Source organism: Homo sapiens, chromosome 7 (assembly GCF_000001405.40).
Source record: "Homo sapiens chromosome 7, GRCh38.p14 Primary Assembly".
Lineage (NCBI taxonomy): Eukaryota > Metazoa > Chordata > Mammalia > Primates > Hominidae > Homo > Homo sapiens.
Window position 1 is genome coordinate 155,671,680 of NC_000007.14, and position 22,272 is coordinate 155,693,951.

Below are 22,272 nucleotides of genomic sequence, written 5' to 3' on the forward strand. Positions count from 1 at the left end.
TAAAGCAGCAATTCTAATAACAATATCGATGCAGTTAAATCTCCATGAGTATTGGCACCTAGAGTTACAGTCCATCTAATTGTATTTCCTCTTTGTATATTTCTGTATGTTGACTTTTAATGATATTTGCTTCCAAGAGATTGATTTCCCCAGAATTAAAAACATGATCTAGTGGTAGCCATTTTTATCAACTAAAAAAATCTTGTTTCTAATAAATGCAGTGGAAAATGTCTTCAGCTTTTTTATTTGCTAAGGGTTTCTGTTTTAGTTGTAAAAATAGGGAGAAAGCCGGCTTCTAATCATTTAAAACAGAAATATGCTAGAAAAAATTGCAAATCACTGATACGACATCCATGTTATACAAAGCTAATTTCCCTTAGTTACTGTGATTTGATTTTATGTTCTCGTTCGTTTTTAAAATTTATTTTTTTTTTCAGTTTCTTTTGGTTTGATGAATGTCAAACGGTCTCTAGTGGTTTTGGTTTTTATCTTCCTAATCAATTATATTGTGCATCTTTTCCTTCTTCATTAAGGTTTTTAAAGATAGGAGAAAGCTTAGATATGACTTACTATATTACAGTTTCTGCTTTTACTGATTATTCAACAGACCCAAAGAGATTAAGATCCCATATTAAGGTACAAAACTAAGATTAGAAGTATAGTGAGGCACTACCTATAGCAAAGCCTCCCCATACTTAAAAAGATAAAATGTTCTCTGTGCATTTGAAAATACATTTTTATTATTAATAAAGAAAGAGGAAAGCATAGCAAACTTAATGTAAAAGTATCCAAGCTGGCCGGGCATGGTGGCTCATGCCTGTAATCCCAACACTTTGGGAGGCCAAGGCAGGCGGATCATGAGGTCAGGAGTTCGAGACCAGCCTGGCCAACATGGTGAAATCCCGTCTCTACTAAAGATACACAAAATTAGCCGGGCATAATGTAATCCCAGCTACTTGGGAGGCTGAGGCAGGAGAATTGCTTGAGCCTGGGAGGCAGAGGTTGCAGTCAGCTGAGATTGCACCATTGTACTCCATCCTGGGCAACACGGTGAGGCTTTGTCTCAAAAAAAAAAAAAAAAAAAAAGGTACCTGAGCTGTAGAGTTCTTGGTAAATTTCCAAGTGATCTACAAACTTGCAAGTCTTATGGGAATAATCATTGACATGTCTCTTTTTTTTCTCCCAAGTGAACTTGAAGATGATTTACTTGGAGAAGATTTGCTATCTGGCAAAAAGGTAAGAAGTTTATGTCCTTCTGAGATGAAATACTAGTCATTTAATTATACTTAACATACAGCAGTAATCACTTATACATGGGTTTCATTACTGGAAAGTTGGGTATAGATTAAAATTTTGTAAACTGAATTATTTTTTAAGTGCGCAGGGAATTGACTGTTTATTAGTAAATTCTCTGGTAATTATAACTCAAGAAATAAATCCTTGAAGATTAGTTCCTACTTTGTCCAAGGCACTCTGGCAGTTACTGGATTGTGACAGCGTTAACATAGAGTTATTCCTTGCCATAACAGAAAGTCACATTTGGAGGTGAATATTTTGCATACTTGTTCTGGATTTCACTTTTTGGAGGCATTCAGAGATAAGCTTAAAGGTAAACATACTCAAATATAATAAACATTAAAATAAATAAAAGTCTAAAACCTAATGTAGGTTTTTCTAAATCTTTTTGATGAAATAAAAAATTTGTATATCTATTTATATATATTGTGTGTGTGTGTGTGTGTGTGTGTGTGTGTGTGTGTGTATGTGTATATATACCCACATATATATATACATACACGTGTGTATATATATACACACATATATACATACACACGTGTATATATATACACACATATATACATACACACGTGTATATATATACACACATATACATACACACGTGTATATATATATACACACATATACATACACACGTGTATATATATACACACATATACATACACACGTGTATATATACACACATATACATACACACGTGTATATATATACACACATATATACATACACACGTGTATATATATACACACACATATATACATACACACGTGTATATACGCGCGCATGCGCGCACACACACACACACACACACACACACACACACCCCTACCAGTATATTTCGGACATTATAAAACACATAAAAGTAGAATGTATAGCGAGAAAGTGAAATACTACATTTTTTAAATTTTATTAACAGTTTAAAAACACTTTCTGTTCTCATTATCAAGATAGTTTAGGCTTAGTTTTTTTTTTTTTTTTTTTTTTTTTTTTTTTTGAGACACAGTCTTACTCTTGCCCAGGCTGGAGTACAGTGGCACCATCTTGGCTCACTGCAAGCTTCTAGAAGTGATTACTGCATCATTAGCCTGCAGGTCGCCTGGCTTTGGCCTAACCCTGCTTTCCCTCCTTTAGATGGCTCTGTCATCACTTCTAACACTTAAGAGTTAGTGTGGTTAGTTAGTTGTAAATCCACCTGATTTAATAGGAGTAAACTGAAATACATCCGTATAAGTTGAACATGAAAGCCCAGTGAGAGAGCCTCGTAGTTGGTCCATCTTGTAGTGTGACGTCTGGAGTGTGAGTGGGATGTTCAGTCCTTCTTTGTCATGGTCACTGGGGGAAAAGGCTCCTGTTTTTATACTCTATTGGGGAATTATTTTGCATACTCTTCTAGGTGCTCTCACTTGTATTTTTGTACCTAAAGTGGCTACTTTTTTCTTCGTATTTAAGATGCTTTAATGGAGAATAAGTTAGATATTAAAAGGTTTAAATGTAGTAAAATACTTTGCCATGAGGTTGGATTTCTATCTCTAGGCAAGCCTCATGTCATGGTTTGCCCTGTGTTTCTTTCCAGAAAGCTGTGATAATTCCCTTTTGATTTACATGTGACCTCCTCTCATAAAAGCTTTGGGGTCAGGACTGTTATCAATAAAGATGGAGAAATACTATTTGGTTTGGACAGTAATGCTGACTGTTCTGGGGGAAGTCATCTTACTTTTCTCAGTTGAGCTGATTGTTGTAAGTTGCTCATGTGGGCTGGAACCGGAGCATGCCCAGTGACAGTGCATTCCGACGCCTCAGTGGAGGGGCTGTATCTGCTTTGGACATTTTGGAAGTGTGTTTACTTTGGAACAGGAGATGTGTCTCTCATTTCCTCTTCTCTGTTCTTTCCTAACATAAAATAAATGCATTGTACCTTATAGGAATCAAGGCATTGAAAATATATAAAAAAAGAAAGCCTTAAAAAGATGTAAACAGTCGTGACTAACATTTTGCCATCTGTCTTTTATTCTTTTCCCATGTGTTTTTAAATATGACCAAAATATAGGCTGGGCATGGTGGCTCACGCCTATAATCCCAGCACTTTGGGAAGCTGAGGCAGGTGGACCACTTGAGGTCAGGAGTTGGAGACCAGCCTGGCCAACATGGTGAAACCCCGTCTCTGCTAAAAATACAAAAATTAGCCGGGCATGGTGACATGAACCTGAAATCCCAGTTACTCGGGAGGTTTACTTGAACCTGGGAGGCGGAGGTTGCAGTGAACCGAGATCACGCCACTGTACTCTAGCCTGGGAGACGGAGTGAGACTCCGTCTCAAAAAAAAAAAAAAAAAAAAAAGAATTATAGATATAAAACGTTACTTTTTTTTTAATTTAACATTGTATCATTGGCATTTCTCCCTTGTCATTAGGGTTATTTTAAAATATTTTATAATGGCAACATAACATTGAATGTTTGTATATGCTACAGTGTCCCTAGTCACTCCTGTGTACATTGAGGTTGTTTCCAGCTCATTGCTTATGACTTTTTTTTAAACCCTTTTTGTGGAAGATCTCAAGCATACACAAAAGAGGAGAGGGCAGTATCGTTTACTCTCAGGTGTCCGTCGTCCAGCCTCAGCAATTTTAGTTAAAGGCTGTTTTGCTTCCTGTTTACGCACTCACTCCCTACCTCCTGAATCATTTTGATGTAAATCTCAAGCATTATGATGATATTTTAATGGACAAATCTTACTATGCTTTTGGGATTTTTTTCTTAGGAAGTTTCTGTAAAGAGGAATTCTGGCCTGAGGGTGGAAACATTTAATGGTTCTTGTCTTGTATTGCCAATTTACCTTCCAGAAATGTTTGATCCACTTATGTTCCTAGCAGCAGGGAATAAGCATTGCCCTCAATTTTCCATTCCCTGTTCGATACTACTTTTTAAAAAGAATCTTTGTCAGTGTGATAGATGAAAAATGATTTCTGCTTGGTTTAATTTCTATTTATTTGATTTCTAGTGAGAATGGAATTTTTTTTCACGTGTTTATTAGCGAGTTAATTACTACAGGGTCTATGAATGGAGTTCACATGATGAGTACACTGGCTACCTGAACAATTTTTTTCTCCCACTGGGGTCCCCACGAAATGCACAATGATGAGCCTTTGCTTGGAGAGACTCCTAAGGCGCAGATAGCCCGAGGGAGGCGCATAGTACTGAGAAAGGCACACGGGTCAGACTGTCAGGGACAAGTTCATTCGTGTCAAGAAGGTTGTTAGTGCTCAGTTTTAAATAATTAAGGTTTCAAACTGAGGTTAAAGCAGGCTGACGTGACCAGGCTAGAGCTTTTAGGAAGTGGGTAAGAGTGAGGTGGAAGTTGGCTGCCAGCTTGCAGTTCCTTCTTCAGCTTTTGTATTTAACTTCATCAACTCGTGTTGGACAGACATTCTCCTGTTACATTGAGGTGGCTCTGTTTCATAGATGCCTGTGTTGGAGAATGTTTTGGGAACCATTTTCTTCCCATTTTTAAACTCTGGCTATTCCATGAAGGTTTTATGTTCTTGGGAGTATTGGAGAGAACCATTCTTTTTCTTTCATACTTGTTTCTCTCCCCATGGGAGAAATGACCTGTTTGGAAAGATTGAGAGAAAGGATTTCACTAGCATCTGTGGCCACTTTATCTTCATCTCTTGGGATCTGTGGCCCTGATTTCCTGCAGACCATCCTGAGCAGAACCCCCTGGAGCCCGAGAAAACTGTTCGCTCCAGTTCTTTAGGATGTGTTGAAATCAGCTTTGGCCTCAAGGATGTAGCCTAGCTCTCCATTCCAGCTTTCTCAGTGAAGTGGATATTGTGCTTATCACCTCCTGTGTCTGTTAGTAGGTTTAAAAGCCAGAGAGGAAAGTTGAATAATCCTCAAAGGAGATTTGACTCCCACGAGGGCTCACCCACCACAGTACACATTCCCTTTCTATTTGCTTGATGCCTTCTTGGCTCATTGATTTTTGAGAAATACTAAGAGTTTAACTAAAAAGCTCAGAGAAACAGCCTCTCGAATGAAATTTGTCTCTCATTGAATTATTAATTTTTAAAGCTTTCCTGAAGTTTTATTTACTGAGTTGGACAGCCAAACTGAGGTTTGTCTGTGGTAGGCCTGGCTCATAGCTCTCACTTTCATAATGGCATTTCCTTTCAGTCTCAGAACTGGCCCTGTGTGGATGACAGATTATATGGTCACCTAACGGAAACTTCATTTTCTTTTTTTCTTTTTTTTTTTTTTTGAGATGGAGTTTCGTTCTTGTTTCCCAGGCTGGAGTGCATTGGCTCACTGCAACCTCCACTTTCCGATTTCAAGCAATTCTCCTGCCTCAGCCTCCCGAGTAGCTGGGACTACAGGCGCCCCTCACCACGCCTGGCTAATTTTTTGTACTTTTAGTAGAGTCAGGGTTTCACCATGTTGGCCAGGTTGGTCTTGAACTCCTGACCTCAAGTGATCCATCTGCCTTGGCCTCCCAAAGTGTTGGGATTACAGGCATGAGCCACTGCGCCCAGCCAGAAACTTCATTTTCTGTCAGTTAAGCAGTCCGTTTTGTTATCACACATATCTGTTCTCCCTTCTGCAAATAAACTGAGTATGTATCCTGTGTTATTTTATTTTTATCTTATTGTGGTGTCAGTGATTAGGTTGAGTCCTGTGCGACTAAGAAGTGCTAATAAGATTATTTTTGGCTATCAGAAATACTGTAATAAAGTATACAGGTAAGTTTTTATAAGGTGTAACTACCAGAAAAAGACTGCTTGTTTGTTCACCTTTAAGAAGAAAAGCAAGTTGATTTTTCTGTCTTTACTTTTTAAGAATGAATATGTGTGAATGACAGTGTGTGTGTGGCTTTGACTGGCTTTCGTGAAGGGAGTAGTAATTTACATATACCATTTATACATATAAGTAATTTTAAAAAGGGAGGAACGTGTGAAGTAGTGTGAATAAGTAGTGAGACAGTGTGAATAACACCCCCCCAACCTAATCTAAGATGCTCAAATATATATAACCTAAGAAAACCTGGAACTCTTGACAGAATAGCTAGGCTCTCTCTCCTTATAGGTAGGAGTACCATCAAGAACAGGAGTGGGGAACTGAGCTGCTAACATTTATTTTCATACGTGATCTGTACTGGAAAAACCAAAGTTTTATAGTCTCATTTCAATTTAATGATTCAGTTATTTAAATCTTATTTCTAAAATTACACTTTTTGTGTTGTTTAAAAAATCTTTAGGTTTTGGATATTAGCATGTTAAATTTAGTAGTACCTTAAGGATATCTTTCTTTTTTTGTGTATTATAAGGAAATATTATTTGTTCGTAAGCTTCCACCAATGGACTTCTTACCTTTTCTCTTTTGTGTGAGAATAAATGTGATCGTTACACTTGGTGTTTTTACATTTAACTTGCCTGGGCACCTGAAGCTGAGCCCAGGAGGGATCCACATGCCTTGTGTGGGATTTCTTGATTATCCACTGGTGACCAGAAAGCCTTCCGGGTGGCAAACGTTTTAATATAAGGCTAGGAACAATTCAGTCAGTGTAATTTTGTGCTTTTTAACAAGTCTTTTTATGGAAGTGACACACATTAATTATATTTCTTATTTTAATTAGAATCAGTCGGATTTGTCAGATGAAGAGCTAAATGATGATCTTTTGCAGAGTGATAATGAAGATGAAGAAAATTTCAGGTACTCAATATTACCTCATTATAAATGTTCTTTATTTAACTAAATTGATAGGAACTGTTATTTATAATTATAATGGAATGTAATTGAATAATGTAGCCTTATATCTTTAACACATGATTACATTCTAAATGGAATACTAGTAATAACTGTAGAAGCCATATGGATGTTCTGTAAACAGAGCAGCTGTTTAAAATAAGCAGTTCTTGGCCAGGCGTTGTAGCTCGTGCCTATAAACCCAGCACTTTGGGAGGCTGAGGCAGGTGGATCACTTGAGGTCAGGAGTTTGAGACCAGCCTGGTTAACATGGTGAAACCCTGTCTCTACTAAAAATACAAAAATTAGCCAGGCGTAGTGGCCCGCGCCTATAGTCCCAGCTACTTGGAGGGCTGAAGCAGGAGAATTGCTTGATCCACAGAGGTGGAGGTTGCAGTGAGCCGAGATTGTGCCACTGCACTCCAGCCTGGGAGACAGAGTGAAACGCCGTCTTAAAAAAAAAAAAACAAAAAACAAAAAATCAGTAGGTCTTTCATTTAATGATCCCTGTGAGTTCTGTTCAGTGCAGGTTATGAAGATTTAGTATGGATATATGCTGCTTTTCTAAAGAATTCCTCTACTCGGATGGAGGGCAGTGGCTTGGGACTCTCAACACCATTGCAGTTCGATACTGCTGCATTTGTCTTCATTTTAGCCAGTTGATTTAGATCATTTACTGAATTACCATTTTGGGCACTTTGGGAGGTGCTACTTTAGACTCTAGTTGACTGATACGATGAATGTCTTTCTGTTGACATATAGTAAGCTATATTAAAAGAGGAGAGACACACTGGTAGGTGGAATAATAGTTTTTATTTTATGAGGAAACATCGGGAAAATGTAGACAAGCTCTTGTTATAAATGTAATTAACAAATATATGCCATTTATTATTGAGCCATGGATTTGTAACAGATTTTCTAACATAAAGTAATTTTTACAGGTAAAAATAAGTTTTAAATTATTCTACCAGTCAGATAAATTTCCCAATTCCATTCTTTGACATCACTGTTATATTTTAATCTTTTGAGTTAGATTGTCTTTTAGAAATACATCATTGAAGTTTTTTAGACACAGTATCTTGAAGTCTAAGAGGTGTATTAATTTTTTGTTAGGATTGAGTGCTATGTGTGAACACAGATTTGCACGATCTTACATGGGAAATGTTATCTTGCACCTTATTGTTTGGTATTTAACTGTTGTGATTTAATAGGTGGAACATGTTTTTTTTGCAGTTTCAAAACCTTTGTTATTTTACTTAGAAATTATGAACAATTTTTAAAGATATTTGTGACTAATATAAATTTATTTATTTGAACACTGAAATGTATTTTCACACAAATTTTTAATATTTTGATTTTCTTAAACAGGAGTTTATAATTTCTATCACAGATGTAAGAAAAAAATTGTTCTTAAAATTCCGATTCTGATTTTCTCCTTATAGAATAATACTCCTGTTTTTACTTTGAACTCTTAGCAGTTTCTGTCTATTTCATTTTGTAAATTAGAATGAAATATAGGCTATTTGATTTCAGTCTTGGACTTTTGCCACTCAGATGTGTTTCATCTGTGGTTGATTTAATTCATTTGGTCAAATAACCTGCAGCTGGTGATAAGTAGAGGGGCTATATGCATTGCCAGTCTGTGGCCGGCTCCATATAGCACAGTTAGCTCTGCTGTACGCATTAAGGGTTTAGGGCACTGGCTCTGTATAGCATTTTGAGTACTGTTGGAGTTAATGTGCATTTGTCAGTAACTGGAATAACTTTTTATCAGTCATGGTTTAAATCTTTGTAACAGCTATTTATATAATGATTTAGTTTGAGCTCCTCTCTTCATTGGGTGCTTTTTTTTTTTATTTTCGTCCTCTCTAGTTCTCAGGGTGTTACAATTAGTCTGAATGCTACATCTGGCATGGTTACATCATTTGAACTCTCTGACAACACTAACGACCAATCTGGAGAACAGGAATCTGAGTATGAACAAGAACAAGGAGAGGATGAACTGGTTTATCACAAATCTGATGGATCAGAATTGTATACTCAAGAGTACCCAGAAGAAGGACAGTATGAAGGCCACGAAGCTGAGTTGACAGAAGACCAAATAGAATATGTGGAAGAGCCAGAGGAGGAGCAGCTTTACACTGATGAAGTGTTAGACATCGAGATCAATGAACCTTTAGATGAATTTACAGTGAGTCTTTTCTCCTTTGTATGGCCAAAGATAACCTGGCTTCCCATGCATAGGCTTCTAGACTGATTTGAAATCTATTTACCTCCCCTGGGAGGGAGGGGAAATTAGACCTTATTATCACTCTCTGCCAGTTTCTTTATCTGAGCTATGACAAAGTTTGTGTTGACAGCTTGTTTGACCAGAGGTAATGCTCCTTTGTCATTCTGGAAGGCTGCAAAGAATCGTGACCTTGAGGATTGTACCCTAAGGAAGAAAACAGCTTTGTGTGGTGGGGATACACTGTCAATTGTTAGGAGTACTTAATGCAGAGCTTTTATCCTGGCTTTAGACAAGATCTGATAAAGTCCTTCTAAGGCGAAAAGATTATTGACCTGCTAAAGACATCTTTAAGGTGCTAATATTCCAGAGTGATTGATGTCCTGTTCATTCATCCTTTTTGTAGATGAGAACTGTCTAAACCTGAATAAAGAGATTGGAGGTTAGTTTAGGAAATGTCACATATAATTCGTTATCTATAATCAGGAAGCAAGATTGTGCTGATTTTTTATTTCAGAAAGATGATTTTGGTAGGTAGTTTTTTTTTTTCAAAGTTGAACCAACAAGAAAGAAAAAATGTACTAGTGTAAGATTCTCACCTTTAAATGACTCATTATCAAAAGAGATTTGTTTTTTAAAATAAGCATGTAACGAAATTTATGAGGGAAGGATGTGATCTCAGTAGCTGTAGTAGAATCTTAGGGTTTTTGGGAACACTATGGGGGCCGAGTGAATGGGGCTGTTGGGATGGTGACAGAAGTATGCAAAATTGGGGCCTTAAAGAGCCCATTTGCAATGGGAGTAGCTTTGCTTTTCTGTATTTACATCTTCATTCGGAGGAAGCTTTTGTTTCAAAAAAATAGTTTAGAAGTTGCTGAATTGTGGTCATGTGTATGAGTAATTTTGAAAAGGATTAATTGTTTATGTGGAACCTTTGAATATTTAGTTCCAGTCATGATTGTATTTAGGTGTCTCAGTAGTTTTTTTTTTTTTCTAGACGGACTCTTGGTTTGTCGCCCAGGCTGGAGTGCAGTGGTGCGATCTCCACTCACTGCAACCTCCACCTTCTGGGTTCAAACAATTCTCCTGCCTCAGCCTCCTGAGTAGCTGAGATTACAGGCGCCCACCATCACGCCTGGCTGATTTTTGTATTTTTTGTAGAGATGGGGTTTCCCCATGTTGCCCAAGCTGATCTCGAACTCTTGACCTCAAGTTATCCGCCCGCCTCGTCCTCCCAAAGTGCTGGGATTACAGGCATGAGCCTCGGTGCCTGGCCCTCAATAGTTTTAAGATTTAATTTTTTTTGGTTAATATTTGCTCTTTGGTAGATACAGTAATGAGAGATGTTTGTAGTTTTGGTAAATAGAATCATGTAAAAGGCATCATGGGGAACTTGTTATTTCCATAACCCTGTAATAATTTGTTCTAGTAATCCTTCGCTAATGTAGGCACGTGCCTTCTGCTTTACTGGTGTGTTTGTATGCTCTTAAAGTTAGACACTGTAATTTAAAATGCTTTTTGAAAATTAAACCAAGATCTTTTAGAATTGTGCCTAGTTATTGCCTAGTTAGAGTATTTTATTATTTCTGTTACTCATCAGTAAAGTAAGATGATTGGCTAATCGTCCTGGGTTCTTTCCTCCTGTAAGTTCAGCAGTCCAACAAGTCTTTACTGATGTCTAAGCACTGCGGACACAAATATTGCTAAACCGTGTCATGAACATTGGCCCTGCCTGTGAACTTAGTACTAGGTGGCACAGATCATAGCGTGGAAGGTGCCTGATAGAATGCATGTGCACAGCCACACGGGAGGTCTCTTTCACTTTGGTGTTCTTGCAGAGTTTGTTGTAAAGAGAATTTCCAAGTGAGGAATTTCCCTCTCTGGTATTCCATTGTCAAACTTGAGATTACACATAGGCCCCAGTTGTAATAAAATCCAACTTAATTATCCAACATCTTGTGGTCTAAGATTCAGGTGTTGAAGAAAATGTGGCAATTTAATAATACTCACGGTACTCTTCCACATTAAAATGAATTTTTTTTTCAGAATTAAAGTCTTGAAGTAAAAAAAAAAAACTTAGAAATTCTGGAAGTGTTCTGATGTTTTCACAGAGAGTTGTAAAGTTTAAAGTTGAGCAGTAGTAGTTCAATGTCTTTCTGTGAGCAATGTCAGTTCATCTTGATACATGTGTTCTAGCCGTGGTCATTCTTTTCTTGCTTTATGATGATCACAATGGTAACATCTGAATGATCTGAAATGGCCGCTTCCTTGGACAGGAGGAGATACGCAGAGAATTAAATTGTGAGGTACTCTTATCTTGCTCGGCAATGGGAGCCTCTCTCTGTCTTCGGAGGCTGTCACTGAAGCCCAGATGATTTATTCACCATTAGACTAATGAACACATGAGCAGATTGTGTCTCTGTGTACCCCAATGGCATTTTAGTTTATTAAATGACTTGTATAACTGTGATTTTTGTTCTCCCTTGGGTTGTTAACCCCCACTCTAAGACTTGAACTCTGAAATGTGGATCTGTTGGAACCTACCTGTAAAGCCACATGGAGGGGCTTTGGTGCATAACAGGGAGTAGAATCATGAAACCCCAGAATGTACAGTGGGAGGGTTTGCTGTTCCCTATGAAGAAAGCGAGGTCCAGAGACATCAATAAAGCTGGACGCACAGCTCTGCTGTCCTTTCCTGTGAATGTTGCTGGTGCTGTTCTTGAGAGTGAATTGTGATTTCATTTGAAAATGTGTGCTCATTATATTAGTAAGGAGTGTATATTGGTTTAGTCGACAAAATATTAGAAAATGGTTGAGTGACTTTTACCTTTAAGTGCAATCAGTTTATTTAAGGCCTTTAAAGTTAACATAGATTAAGATTTTATTGTTCTGTAAAAACAATTTCAGGTTGACATTTTATGTCATGGGTAGCAGATGTTTGTTTCCCAGCGAGAATCCAGGGGTGTGGACTGTACTGCATTGTACACTGGCTGAAGATTTGGATTAGCATCATTTATTTGACTTTATTTGAAATCTGAATGTCCTGCTGCCCGTGATTCATGGGTAGTGATAATTGTTATTCTGATAGGACGCTAACAGTTTTTTCTGGAAAATAAAATGTGTTGTGTTCAGATTGTCTTGAGAGAATTGTGGGAACTAAGGTGGTTTGTCACCTTAAATACAGCTGCTTTATTTGGGGGTTCTAGATGAGACTGTCATGTACCATACAGTAGGTTGTTAAATTTCTGTAGGTTGTTCACTCTTTGAGGTTGTCTGCTTTGGAACCATTTTACTGTTCATTTTTTAGCAAGTAGGCTGGGACCCTGGGAAGTCTACCTCCGCTGAGTAGGATCAGACGTTGTCACTTGTTAGCAATACCAGAAGCCCTTTTTTCTTCTCTGCAGTTGCGGTCGTCTCCAGCCAGCTTGCCTGCTTTCTTCCATCTACCCAGAAGAGATTCTTGCTTGCTAATACGCCCCTTAAGTTTCATACAAAACCTGGAATCTTTCTCTCATTTGAGAAGGGGGCCTAATGGAGAAACATACTAATCACGATTTTTAAAAAGCTCCTCTGTTTAATTGCTGACACTTTTGTTGTCTTACATTGCCACAAAAATAGAGTTGGGCATGATTTCAGCCCCCTTCTGCTGCTGAGCTCCTTTTTGAGAGCACATAAACCATGTCTTTTGAAGGTGGCTCTTCCGTGCTGTTGATTTGCAGAGGAGCTGTGTGACAGGGCACTTGGAGTTTGAAGCAGAGCCCACGGCACTTGCTCTGGTGGCTGGGCCAGCATGATATGCTTTGTTTGCATTAACACGCAGAGGAGGTTCCCCTCTGTTTCTGGGCCTGGTGCTTTGTGCTCAGTCAGCTAATCACCATAGTAAAACTTTCTACAATTATTAAGCATGAATCATAAAGACGAAAAGTACGTAAAAAAACCACCCCAAAGCTGTATGAGAAAAACTTGTTTTCTCTTTAATGGCTGTTAGGATGAAGAATACTTGCAGGCTTATGGTGGGCAACAAGGGCTGCAAGAGCAGGAAGACTGTGTGGCTGAAGATGAATTAGATGAGATTACTGATGCCCAGGTTGCTCCTGCAACTGAAGAGGTATTTGTTCATCTTTTAAAAAGAGTAAAAAGTTTGCTGTTTCCCTCCCCCAGACTTAAAATGAGCATCTTTTTAGCATTAGCGAAAGTCGATACGTATCTTTGAACTGTGAGTGTATAGTGAAAAACTTGAACTTTCTAGGCTCCTTGGGAAGTGAGTTCTGGTGTGCTGTGATTTCCGCATAGCGTGTGCCGTTTAAGTGTTAGAGTGTTGTAAATGTTTTGTGGGGATGTGGGTGGAAATAGTTCAGAAATGTGACGTATATGTTAGTGCTTTGAAAGCAGTGTGGTAATTCTTTTTAATTAGTAACAGTTAATTTGGACCATTCAACAAATACTGCAAGGTTTCTGTAATTAGGTGCATTTTTAGTGTTGAAGAAGTAAGGATGATGAAGCTTGAATCCTGCTTTCAAGGAAATTGGAGTCTAATATAGGAGAGAAAAAAGACCTGTAAATACCTGTGATGGGAAAACAAAAGTAAAACCTCCCAAGAGAGGCTCAGAGACAGTGCTAGGAGCTCACCGAGGAAACCCCGTGGGGAGAGAGGTTCGTGGTCGACGAGGCTTTATGGAAGGAGGTGAACCTCTGAACTCTGAGGTAGGTCTTGAAAGATAGATTGCATTTGTACTGAGAAAGGTGGGGTGAGGCATAGAGTTAAATAGTTGCTGTTCTCTTACCCCAGAACTAGCTGCTGTGGGCCAGACATGCAAGCCACAAATCATTCTTCAGCCTGAGAACTTCACAAGAGTTTTTCTTAATACAGTTTTCATCTTTTGTCAGGAGGCCATGAAAACTGATATTTACTGGCTTAGGCCATTTACTTTAGGTGTTATTTCAAGGATTTAGACACTCAGTCCAGAAAACATTTACTTTACCCTTTTCCCCCCCAGTATGAATAATACTATGACAGTCTATGAATGTGTATGCTGTGCACATTACAAAACAGAAGTACTTCTTGCACATACCCTTTCTCCCCCTCCACCAAACTAAATTTGATTTTGTGTGTGTGTGCTTTCTTCTCTCTTTCTTTCTCGCTCGCTATTTGAAATAATTTGAAACTTAGAGAAAGGACAGAATAATACAAAGAACTCTTACCCAGATTCTCCAGTTGTAGAAGAATGTCCAAGAACTAAGACAAAGCTAAAGAAGATATTAAAAGTGTGCAGAGAGTAGAGGTTAGGTGTGTCTTGTTCATCACTGTATTCTGTAGCACTCTTTATTACAAAGCTAGCACCAGTCTAGGTTAAACCTGAAAAGGGGTAATTTAGGCGGAAGACATCTGAGAAAAATCTAAGTAGCCAGTAAAGGAGAGAGAAGTAGACAGAAGACTGCGTGGAGATCATTCCAGGTGGTAAATAGTTGAGAGAGAAACCAAGGAATTCGGTGCCTGTTAATTCCATGTCCTTTTTGTTCGTGGTATTTTTTTTCTTTTTTTTTTTAAATTATATTTTAAGTTCTAGGGTACATGTGCATAACGTGCGGGTTTGTTACATATGTATACATGCACCATGTTGGTGTGCTGCACCCATTAACTCGTCGTTTACATTAGGTATATCTCCTAATGCTGTCCCTCCCCGCTCCCCCCACCCCATGACAGGCCCTGGTGTGTGATATTCCCCTTCCTGTGTCCAAGTGTTCTCATTGTTCAGTTCCCACCTATGAGTGAGAACATGCAGTGTTTGGTTTTTTGTCCTTGAGATAGTTTGCTGAGAATGATGGTTTCCAGCTTCATCCATGTCCCTGCAAAAGACATGAACTCATCCTTTTTTATGGCTGCATAGTATTCCATGGTGTATATGTGCCACATTTTCTTAATCCAGTCTATCATTGATGGACATTTGGGTTGGTACCAAGTCTTTGCTATTGTGAATAGTTCCTCAGTAAACATACATGTGCATGTGTCTTTATAGCAGCATGATTTATAATCCTTTGGGTATATACCCAGTAATGGGATGGCTGGGTCAAATGGTATTTCTGGTTCTAGATCCTTGAGGAGTTGCCACACTGTCTTCCACAATGGTTGAACTAGTTTACAGTCCCACCAACAGTGTAAAAGTATTCCTATTTGTCCACATCCTCTCCAGCACCTGTTGTTTCTTGACTTTTTAATGATCACCATTCTAACTGGCGTGAGATGGTATCTCATTGTGGTTTTGATTTGCATTTCTCTGATGGCCAGTGATAATGAGCATTTTTTCATGTGTCTGTTGGCTGCATAAATGTCTTCTTTTGAGAAGTGTTTGTTCATATCCTTCACCCACTTTTTGATGGGGTTGTTTTTTGCTTGTGAATTTGTTTGAGTTCATTGTACATTCTGGATATTAGCCCTTTGTCAGATGAGTAGATTGCAAAAATTTTCTCCCATTCTGTAGGTTGCCTGTTCACTCTGATGGTAGTTTCCTTTGCTGTGCAGAAGCTCTTTACTTTAATTAGATCCCATTTGTCAATTTTGGCTTTTGTTGCCATTGCTTTTGGTGTTTTAGACATGAAGTCCTTGCCCATGCCTATGTCCTGAATGGTATTGCCTAGGTTTTCTTCTAGGGTTTTTATGGTTTTAGGTCTAACATGTAAGTCTTTAATCCATCTTGAATTAATTTTCGTATAAGGTGTAAGGAAGGGATCCAGTTTCAGCTTTCTACATATGGCTAGCCAGTTTTCCCAGCACCATTTATTAAATAGGGGATCCTTTCCCCATTTCTTGTTTTTGTCAGGTTTGTCAAAGATCAGATGGTTGTAGATGTGTGGTATTAATTTGAGGGCTCTGTTCTGTTCCATTTGTCGGTATCTCTGTTTTGGTACCAGTACCATGCTGTTTTGGTTACTATAGCCTTGTAGTATAGTTTGAAGTCAGGTAGTATGATGCCTCCAGATTTGTTCTTTTAGCTTAGGATTGTCTTGGCAATGTGGGACCCTTTTTGGTTCCATATGAACTTGAAAGTAGTTTTTTCCAGTTCTGTGAAGAAAGTCATTGGCAGCTTGATGGGGATGGCATTGAATCTATAAATTACCTTGGACAGTATGGCCATTTTCACGATATTAATTCTTCCTATCCATGAGCATGGAATGTTCTTCCATTTGCGTGTGTCCTCTTTTATTTCATTGAGCAGTGGTTTGTAGTTCTCCTTGAAGAGATCCTTCACATCCCTTGTAAGTTGGATTCCTAGGTATTTTATTCTCTTTGAAGCAATTGTGAATGGGAGTTCACTCATGATTTGGCCCTCTGTTTGTCTGTTATTGGTGTATAAGAATGCTCGTGATTTTTGCACATTGATTTTGTATCCTAAGACTTTGCTGAAGTTGCTTATCAGCTTAAGGAGATTTTGGGCTGAGACGATGGGGTTTTCTAAATACACAGTCATATCATCTGCAAACAGGGACAATTTGACTTCCTCTTTTCCTAATTGAATATCCTTTATTTCTTTCTCCTGCCTGATTGCCCTGGCCAGAATCTCAAACACTGTGTTGAATAGGAGTGGTGAGAGAGGGCATCCCTGTCTTGTGGCAGTTTTCAAAGGGAATGCTTCCAGTTTTTGCCCATTCAGTATGATATTGGCTGTGGGTTTGTCATAAATAGCTCTTATTATTTTGAGATACGTCCCATCAATACCTAATTTATTGAGAGTTTTTAGCATGAAGGGCTGTTAAATTTTGTTGAAGGCTTTTTCTGCATCTGTTGAGATAATCGTGGTTTTTGTCTTTGGTTCTGTTTATATGCTGGATTATGTTTATTAATTTGCGTATGTTGAATCAGCCTTGCATCCCAGAGATGAAGCCCACTTGATCATGGCGGATAAGCTTTTTGATGTGCTGCTGGATTCGGTTTGCCAGTATTTTATTGAGGATTTTTGCATCAATGTTCATCAGGGATATTGGTCTAAAATTCTTTTTTGTTGTGTCTCTGCCAGGCTTTGGTATCAGGATGATGCTGGCCTCATAAAATGAGTTAGGGAGGATTCCCTCTTTTTCTATTGATTGGAATAGTTTCGGAAGTAATGGTACCAGCTCCTCCTTGTACCTCTGGTAGAATTCGGCTGTGAATCCATCTGGTCCTGGACTTTTTTTGGTTGGTAAGCTATTAATTATTGCCTCAATTTCAGAGCCCGTTATTGGTCTATTCAGGGATTCAACTTCTTCCTGGTTTAGTCTTGGGAGTGTGTATGTGTCCAGGAATTTATCCATTTCTTCTAGATTTTCTAGTTTATTTGCGTAGAGGTGTTTATAGTATTCTCTGATGGTAGTTTGTATTTCTGTGGGATCGGTGGTGATATCCGCTTTATCATTTTTTATTGCGTCTATTTGATTCTTCTCTCTTTTCTTCTTTATTAGTGTTGCTAGCAGTCTATCAATTTTGTTGATCTTTTCAAAAAACCAGCTCCTGGATTCATTGATTTTTTGAAGGGTTTTTTGTATCTCTATCTCCTTCAGTTCTGCTCTGATCTTAGTTATTTCTTGCCTTCTGCCAGCTTTTGAATGTGTTTGCTCTTGCTTCTCAAGTTCTTTTAATTGTGATATTAGGGTGTCAATTTTAGATCTTTCCTGCATTCTCTTGTGGGCATTTAATGCTATAAATTTCCCTCTACACACTGCTTTAAATGTGTCCCAGAGATTCTGGTATGTTGTGTCTTTGTTCTCATAGGTTTCAAAGAACATCTTTATTTCTGCCTTCATTTTGTTATGTACCCAGTAGTCAGTCAGGAGCAGGTTGTTCAGTTTCCATGTAGTTGAGCGGTTTTGAGTGAGTTTCTTAATCCTAAGTTCTAGTTTGATTGCACTGTGGTCTGAGAGACAGTTTGTTACAATTTCTGTTCTTTTACATTTGCTGAGGAGTGCTTTACTTCCAACTGTGTGGTCAATTTTGGAATAAGTGTGATGTGCTGAGAAGAATGTATGTTCTGCTGATTTAGGGTGGAGACTTCTGTAGATGTCTATTAGGTCCGCTTGGTGCAGAGCTGAGTTCAATTCCTGGATATCCTTGTTAACTTTCTGTCTCGTTGATCTGTCTGATGTTGACAGTGGGGTGTTAAAGTCTCCCGTTATTATTGTGTGGGAGTCTAAGTCTCTTTGTAGGTCTCTCAGGACTTGCTTTATGAATCTGGGTGCTCCTGTATTGGGTGCACATATGTGTAGGATAGTTAGCTCTTCTTGTTGAATTGATCCCTTTACCATTATGTAATGCCCTTCTTTGTCTCTTTTGATCTTTTTTGGTTTAAAATCTGTTTTATCAGAGAGTAGGATTGTATCCCCTGCCTTTTTTGTTTTGCATTTGCTTGGTGGATCTTCCTCCATCCCTTTATTTTGAGCCTATATGTGTCTCTGCACGTGAGATGGGTTTCCTGAATATAGCACAGTGAGGGGTCTTGACTCTACCCCGTTCGCCAGTCTGTGTCTTTTAATTGGAGCATTTAGCCCATTTACATTTAAGGTTAATATTGTTATGTGTGAATTTGACCCTGTCATTATGATGTTAGCTGGTTATTTTGCTCGTTATTTGATGCAGTTTCTTCCTAGTATCGATGGTCTTTACAATTTGGCATGTTTTTGCAGTGGCTGGTACCGGTTGTTCCTTTCCACGTTTACTGCTTTCTTCAGGAACTCTTGTAGGGCAGGCCTGGTGGTGACAAAATCTCTGAGCATTTGCTTGTCTGTAAAGAATTTTATTTCTCCTTCACTTATGAAGCTTAGTTTGGCTGGATATGAAATTCTGAGTTGAAAATTCTTTTTTTTAAGAATGTTGAATATTGGACCCCACTCTCTTCTGGCTTGTAGAGTTTCTGCTGAGATATCCGCTGTTAGTCTGATGGACTTCCCTTTGTGGGTAACCCGACCTTTCTCTCTGGCTACCCTTAATATTTTTTCCTTCATTTCAACTTTGGTGAATCTGACAATTATGTGTCTTGGAGTGGCTCTTCTCGAGGTGTATCTTTGTGGCATTCTCTGTATTTCCTGAATGTGAATGTTGGCCTGCCTTGCTAGATTGGGGAAGCTCTCCTGGATAATACCCTGCAGAGTGTTTTCCAACTTGGTTCCATTCTCCCAGTCACTTTCAGGTACACCAATCAGACGTAGATTTGGTCTTTTCACATAGTCCCATATTTCTTGGAGGCTTTGTTCGTTTCTTTTTACTCTTTTTTCTCTAAACTTCTCTTCTGGCTTCATTTCATTCATTTGATCTCCAGTCACTGATACCCTTTCTTCCAGTTGATCGAATCGGCTACTGAAGCTTGTGCAGTCATCACGTAGTTCTCGTGCCATGGTTTTCAGCTCCATCAGGTCATTTAAGGACTTCTCTACACTGGTTATTCTAGTTAGCCATTCGTCTAATCTTTTTTCAAGGTTTTTAGCTTCTTTGCGATGGGTTCGAACTTCCTCATTTAGCTTGGATGTTTGTGGTATTTTGAAGTTGGAAAACTAATTTTATTGTTTGTTTTTCCTTGTAATTTATTTTAGTTTTTAGATAACAATATTTTCTTTATTCTTCCCTGATACTCTATAATATTTGTAGCATATCTTAAAATAGGGAAAGGTTTTGTAGATTTCAGTTTTCAAATGATGGTTACGTAAACTTTTATTGCAAGGCAGTTAAAGAATGTTAACAAGTATTATCATTGCCTGGGTGCCTTCTGGAAGTGCCTTCTAGTTCTAGACGTTTTTAACTTCAGTTCCTGGACAGTCCTAATTAATACATTAAAACAAAAGAGAGCTACTATAAAAAATGGTGACCTGGCTGGGTGCTGTGTCTTATGCCTGTAATCCCAGCACTTTGGGAGGCCTAGGTGGACGGGTCACTTGAGCTCAGGAGACCAACATGGGCAACATGGCAAAGCCCCATCTCTACCAAAAATACAAAAAATTAGCTAGGTGTGGTGGCACACACCTGTGGTCCCAGCTACTCAGGAGGCTGAGGTTGGAGGATCACTTGAGCCCAGGAGGTGGAGGTTGCAGTGAGCTGTGATTGCGCCACTGCCCTCCAGTTTGGGTGACAGAGTGAGACCCTCTGTCCAAAAAAAAAAAAAGAAAATTTTTTTTTTCTTTGATTTTCAGTGTCTCTTGTGTGGGGGAGGAGGGAGAAAAAGAAGGACAAATAATGTGGGACAGTAATTCAGGACTTGATTAAGCAAATGAACAATAGGTGTATGAAAATATATTCAGTAAAAATTAAAAGAAAATGGAGAATTTTAACCTACTTTAATATTAACAGACCTCAGAATTATTGATCAGATGTAGTCTGATTCACTTGAGGGAGCGTTTTGGTAACATTGTCAGGAGACAGTTTTCTGAGGGTCCTTCATTTAGCTGCAGGTTTTGTGAGCAAAGCGAGCAAATCACTGCCTGTCCTTTGTTCCGGAATATCTTTTAGAGGATTCTGGTGTAGCAGACAGCTACAGATGCAGTGTCTTCCTCTGGAGTCAAGGACAGGTTTGCTTACTCCCCATTGTGACACATTCAGGGTTTCCTGTGCAGAGAAGTCCTTCCTGTAACACAACCTCCTATGTGTGCAGGGTCACCTGGCTCTCTTCACACGGCCCAGTTGGGAGTGGGGCTTCTTGGAGCTGGTGCAGAATGCTACTGCTAGTGATACAGATAACATTGTCCTAGTCTCCTTATTTCTGACGAAGAGTCTTAGCTTTCTTACAGCTTCCGTGAAATGGTGGCCAACTAACTTGTTAGCTTGCAAGTAGAGTAAAATCTTATACTCTTCACTGTTCTTGACAGTATTAAAAGCTTTAAAGCTCCTGTCCTTGGACTCAACAATTCCACTTTAACAAATTTATCCAAAAGAATTAATCTGTGTTCAAAGGTATATGTATCAAGTATTTGTTTGCAGCATTGAAAATAAATGGAACCAATGTATAAAAGAGTAAATCATGGCCTAACCTTAAAGTGTAATGCAGTATACCAAGTGTTGTCTTAGTTCTGTTTGACTTGGAAAGGTGCTCGTGATGCATTAAGTGTAAAGAGCAAGATGATAGAATTCTTCCCTTCAGCTCCCCCTGTAACTGCAAATCTAAATATGTGTGTGTAATTCTCAAAAAAAACAAAAAGTCTATGTAGTTACAGATGGAAATGGTAATAATGATTACTACTAAATGGTGGAATTATTTAGTCTTTGTATTCCAATATTTTCTGATTTAAAAATTTTTTTACTGTAAGCGAGAAATATTCTTTTTCCTTTTTAAATATGAAAAGACAGGGAAACATAAGGTGGTTAAACGCCGACCCTTGAATTTGGAAGGCAAAGAGCTAGAAGTTGCATCTGTTTCACTCTTGTGATTTTTTTTTCTTTTTTTTTTTCTTTTTTTGCTGTTAACACTCTCACATGAAACTTCCTAAGGGTTGTTTTCAGTATGAATCTTTCTAGCAGAAAGTAAGAGCTCATCCATATTAAGTATTTTGTCTTTTTTATACCATCTGCTAGATGTATTATTTACTTTTTACTTTTAAACTGTGTATCTCATAATTTAATTTTAAATTTACTGTTGAAAAATATTTTTAAAAGGTATTCGTATATTTACTTTTTTTATCCTTTCCTTGATGGTTTTAGTTTACTTTGTTTATGTTGCTTGCTTTTGTGATGATGGCAGGTTCTTTGTGATGCTCTTGATCTTAGGACTTTCAGTTGTCCTTCCTGGAGGCTGGTGATGTGCTGGTCTTTTCCACTAGCAATAAATATTTGGGGCTTTTTTTTTTCCCGGCTGCATTGTAGAATATTAGTCAATGAGATAATTATTGGGAACTCATGCGCATAATACTGTTTTAAGTGCTGAGAAGTAGAAGTTGCTAGTATTTCAACTTTTGTAGGATTTGGTTTTGGAGGGCTTGTGATCCATCTTTTTTAGAAGTCTAAATAAACTGTGTAGTCCTCAGGGAGGAGTACCATTTTTAATGTGCCACATATCCGT

The 22,272-nt window shown here is 38.3% G+C and overlaps 1 protein-coding gene across 1 annotated transcript in view, besides 1 other annotated feature; it reads left to right on the forward strand.

The window, feature by feature from the left end:
• The window catches only part of RBM33 (RNA binding motif protein 33), a 136,820-nt gene that overhangs the window by 27,019 nt on the left and 87,529 nt on the right, over window positions 1–22,272 (forward strand). Inside the window, exons 3-5 of the mRNA NM_053043.3 lie at window positions 1,188–1,236; window positions 6,929–7,005; window positions 8,911–9,229. Of these exons, the coding sequence (NP_444271.2) occupies window positions 1,188–1,236; window positions 6,929–7,005; window positions 8,911–9,229 (445 nt within the window). The remainder of the gene's footprint in view (window positions 1–1,187; window positions 1,237–6,928; window positions 7,006–8,910; window positions 9,230–22,272) is intronic.
• Window positions 5,577–5,626: an enhancer, noted in NCBI's record as "active region_26899". NCBI's record gives its function as "activates an Ori minimal core promoter by ATAC-STARR-seq in GM12878 lymphoblastoid cells {active_cell/tissue: GM12878}" and the evidence as "EXISTENCE:reporter gene assay evidence [ECO:0000049][PMID:35858748]".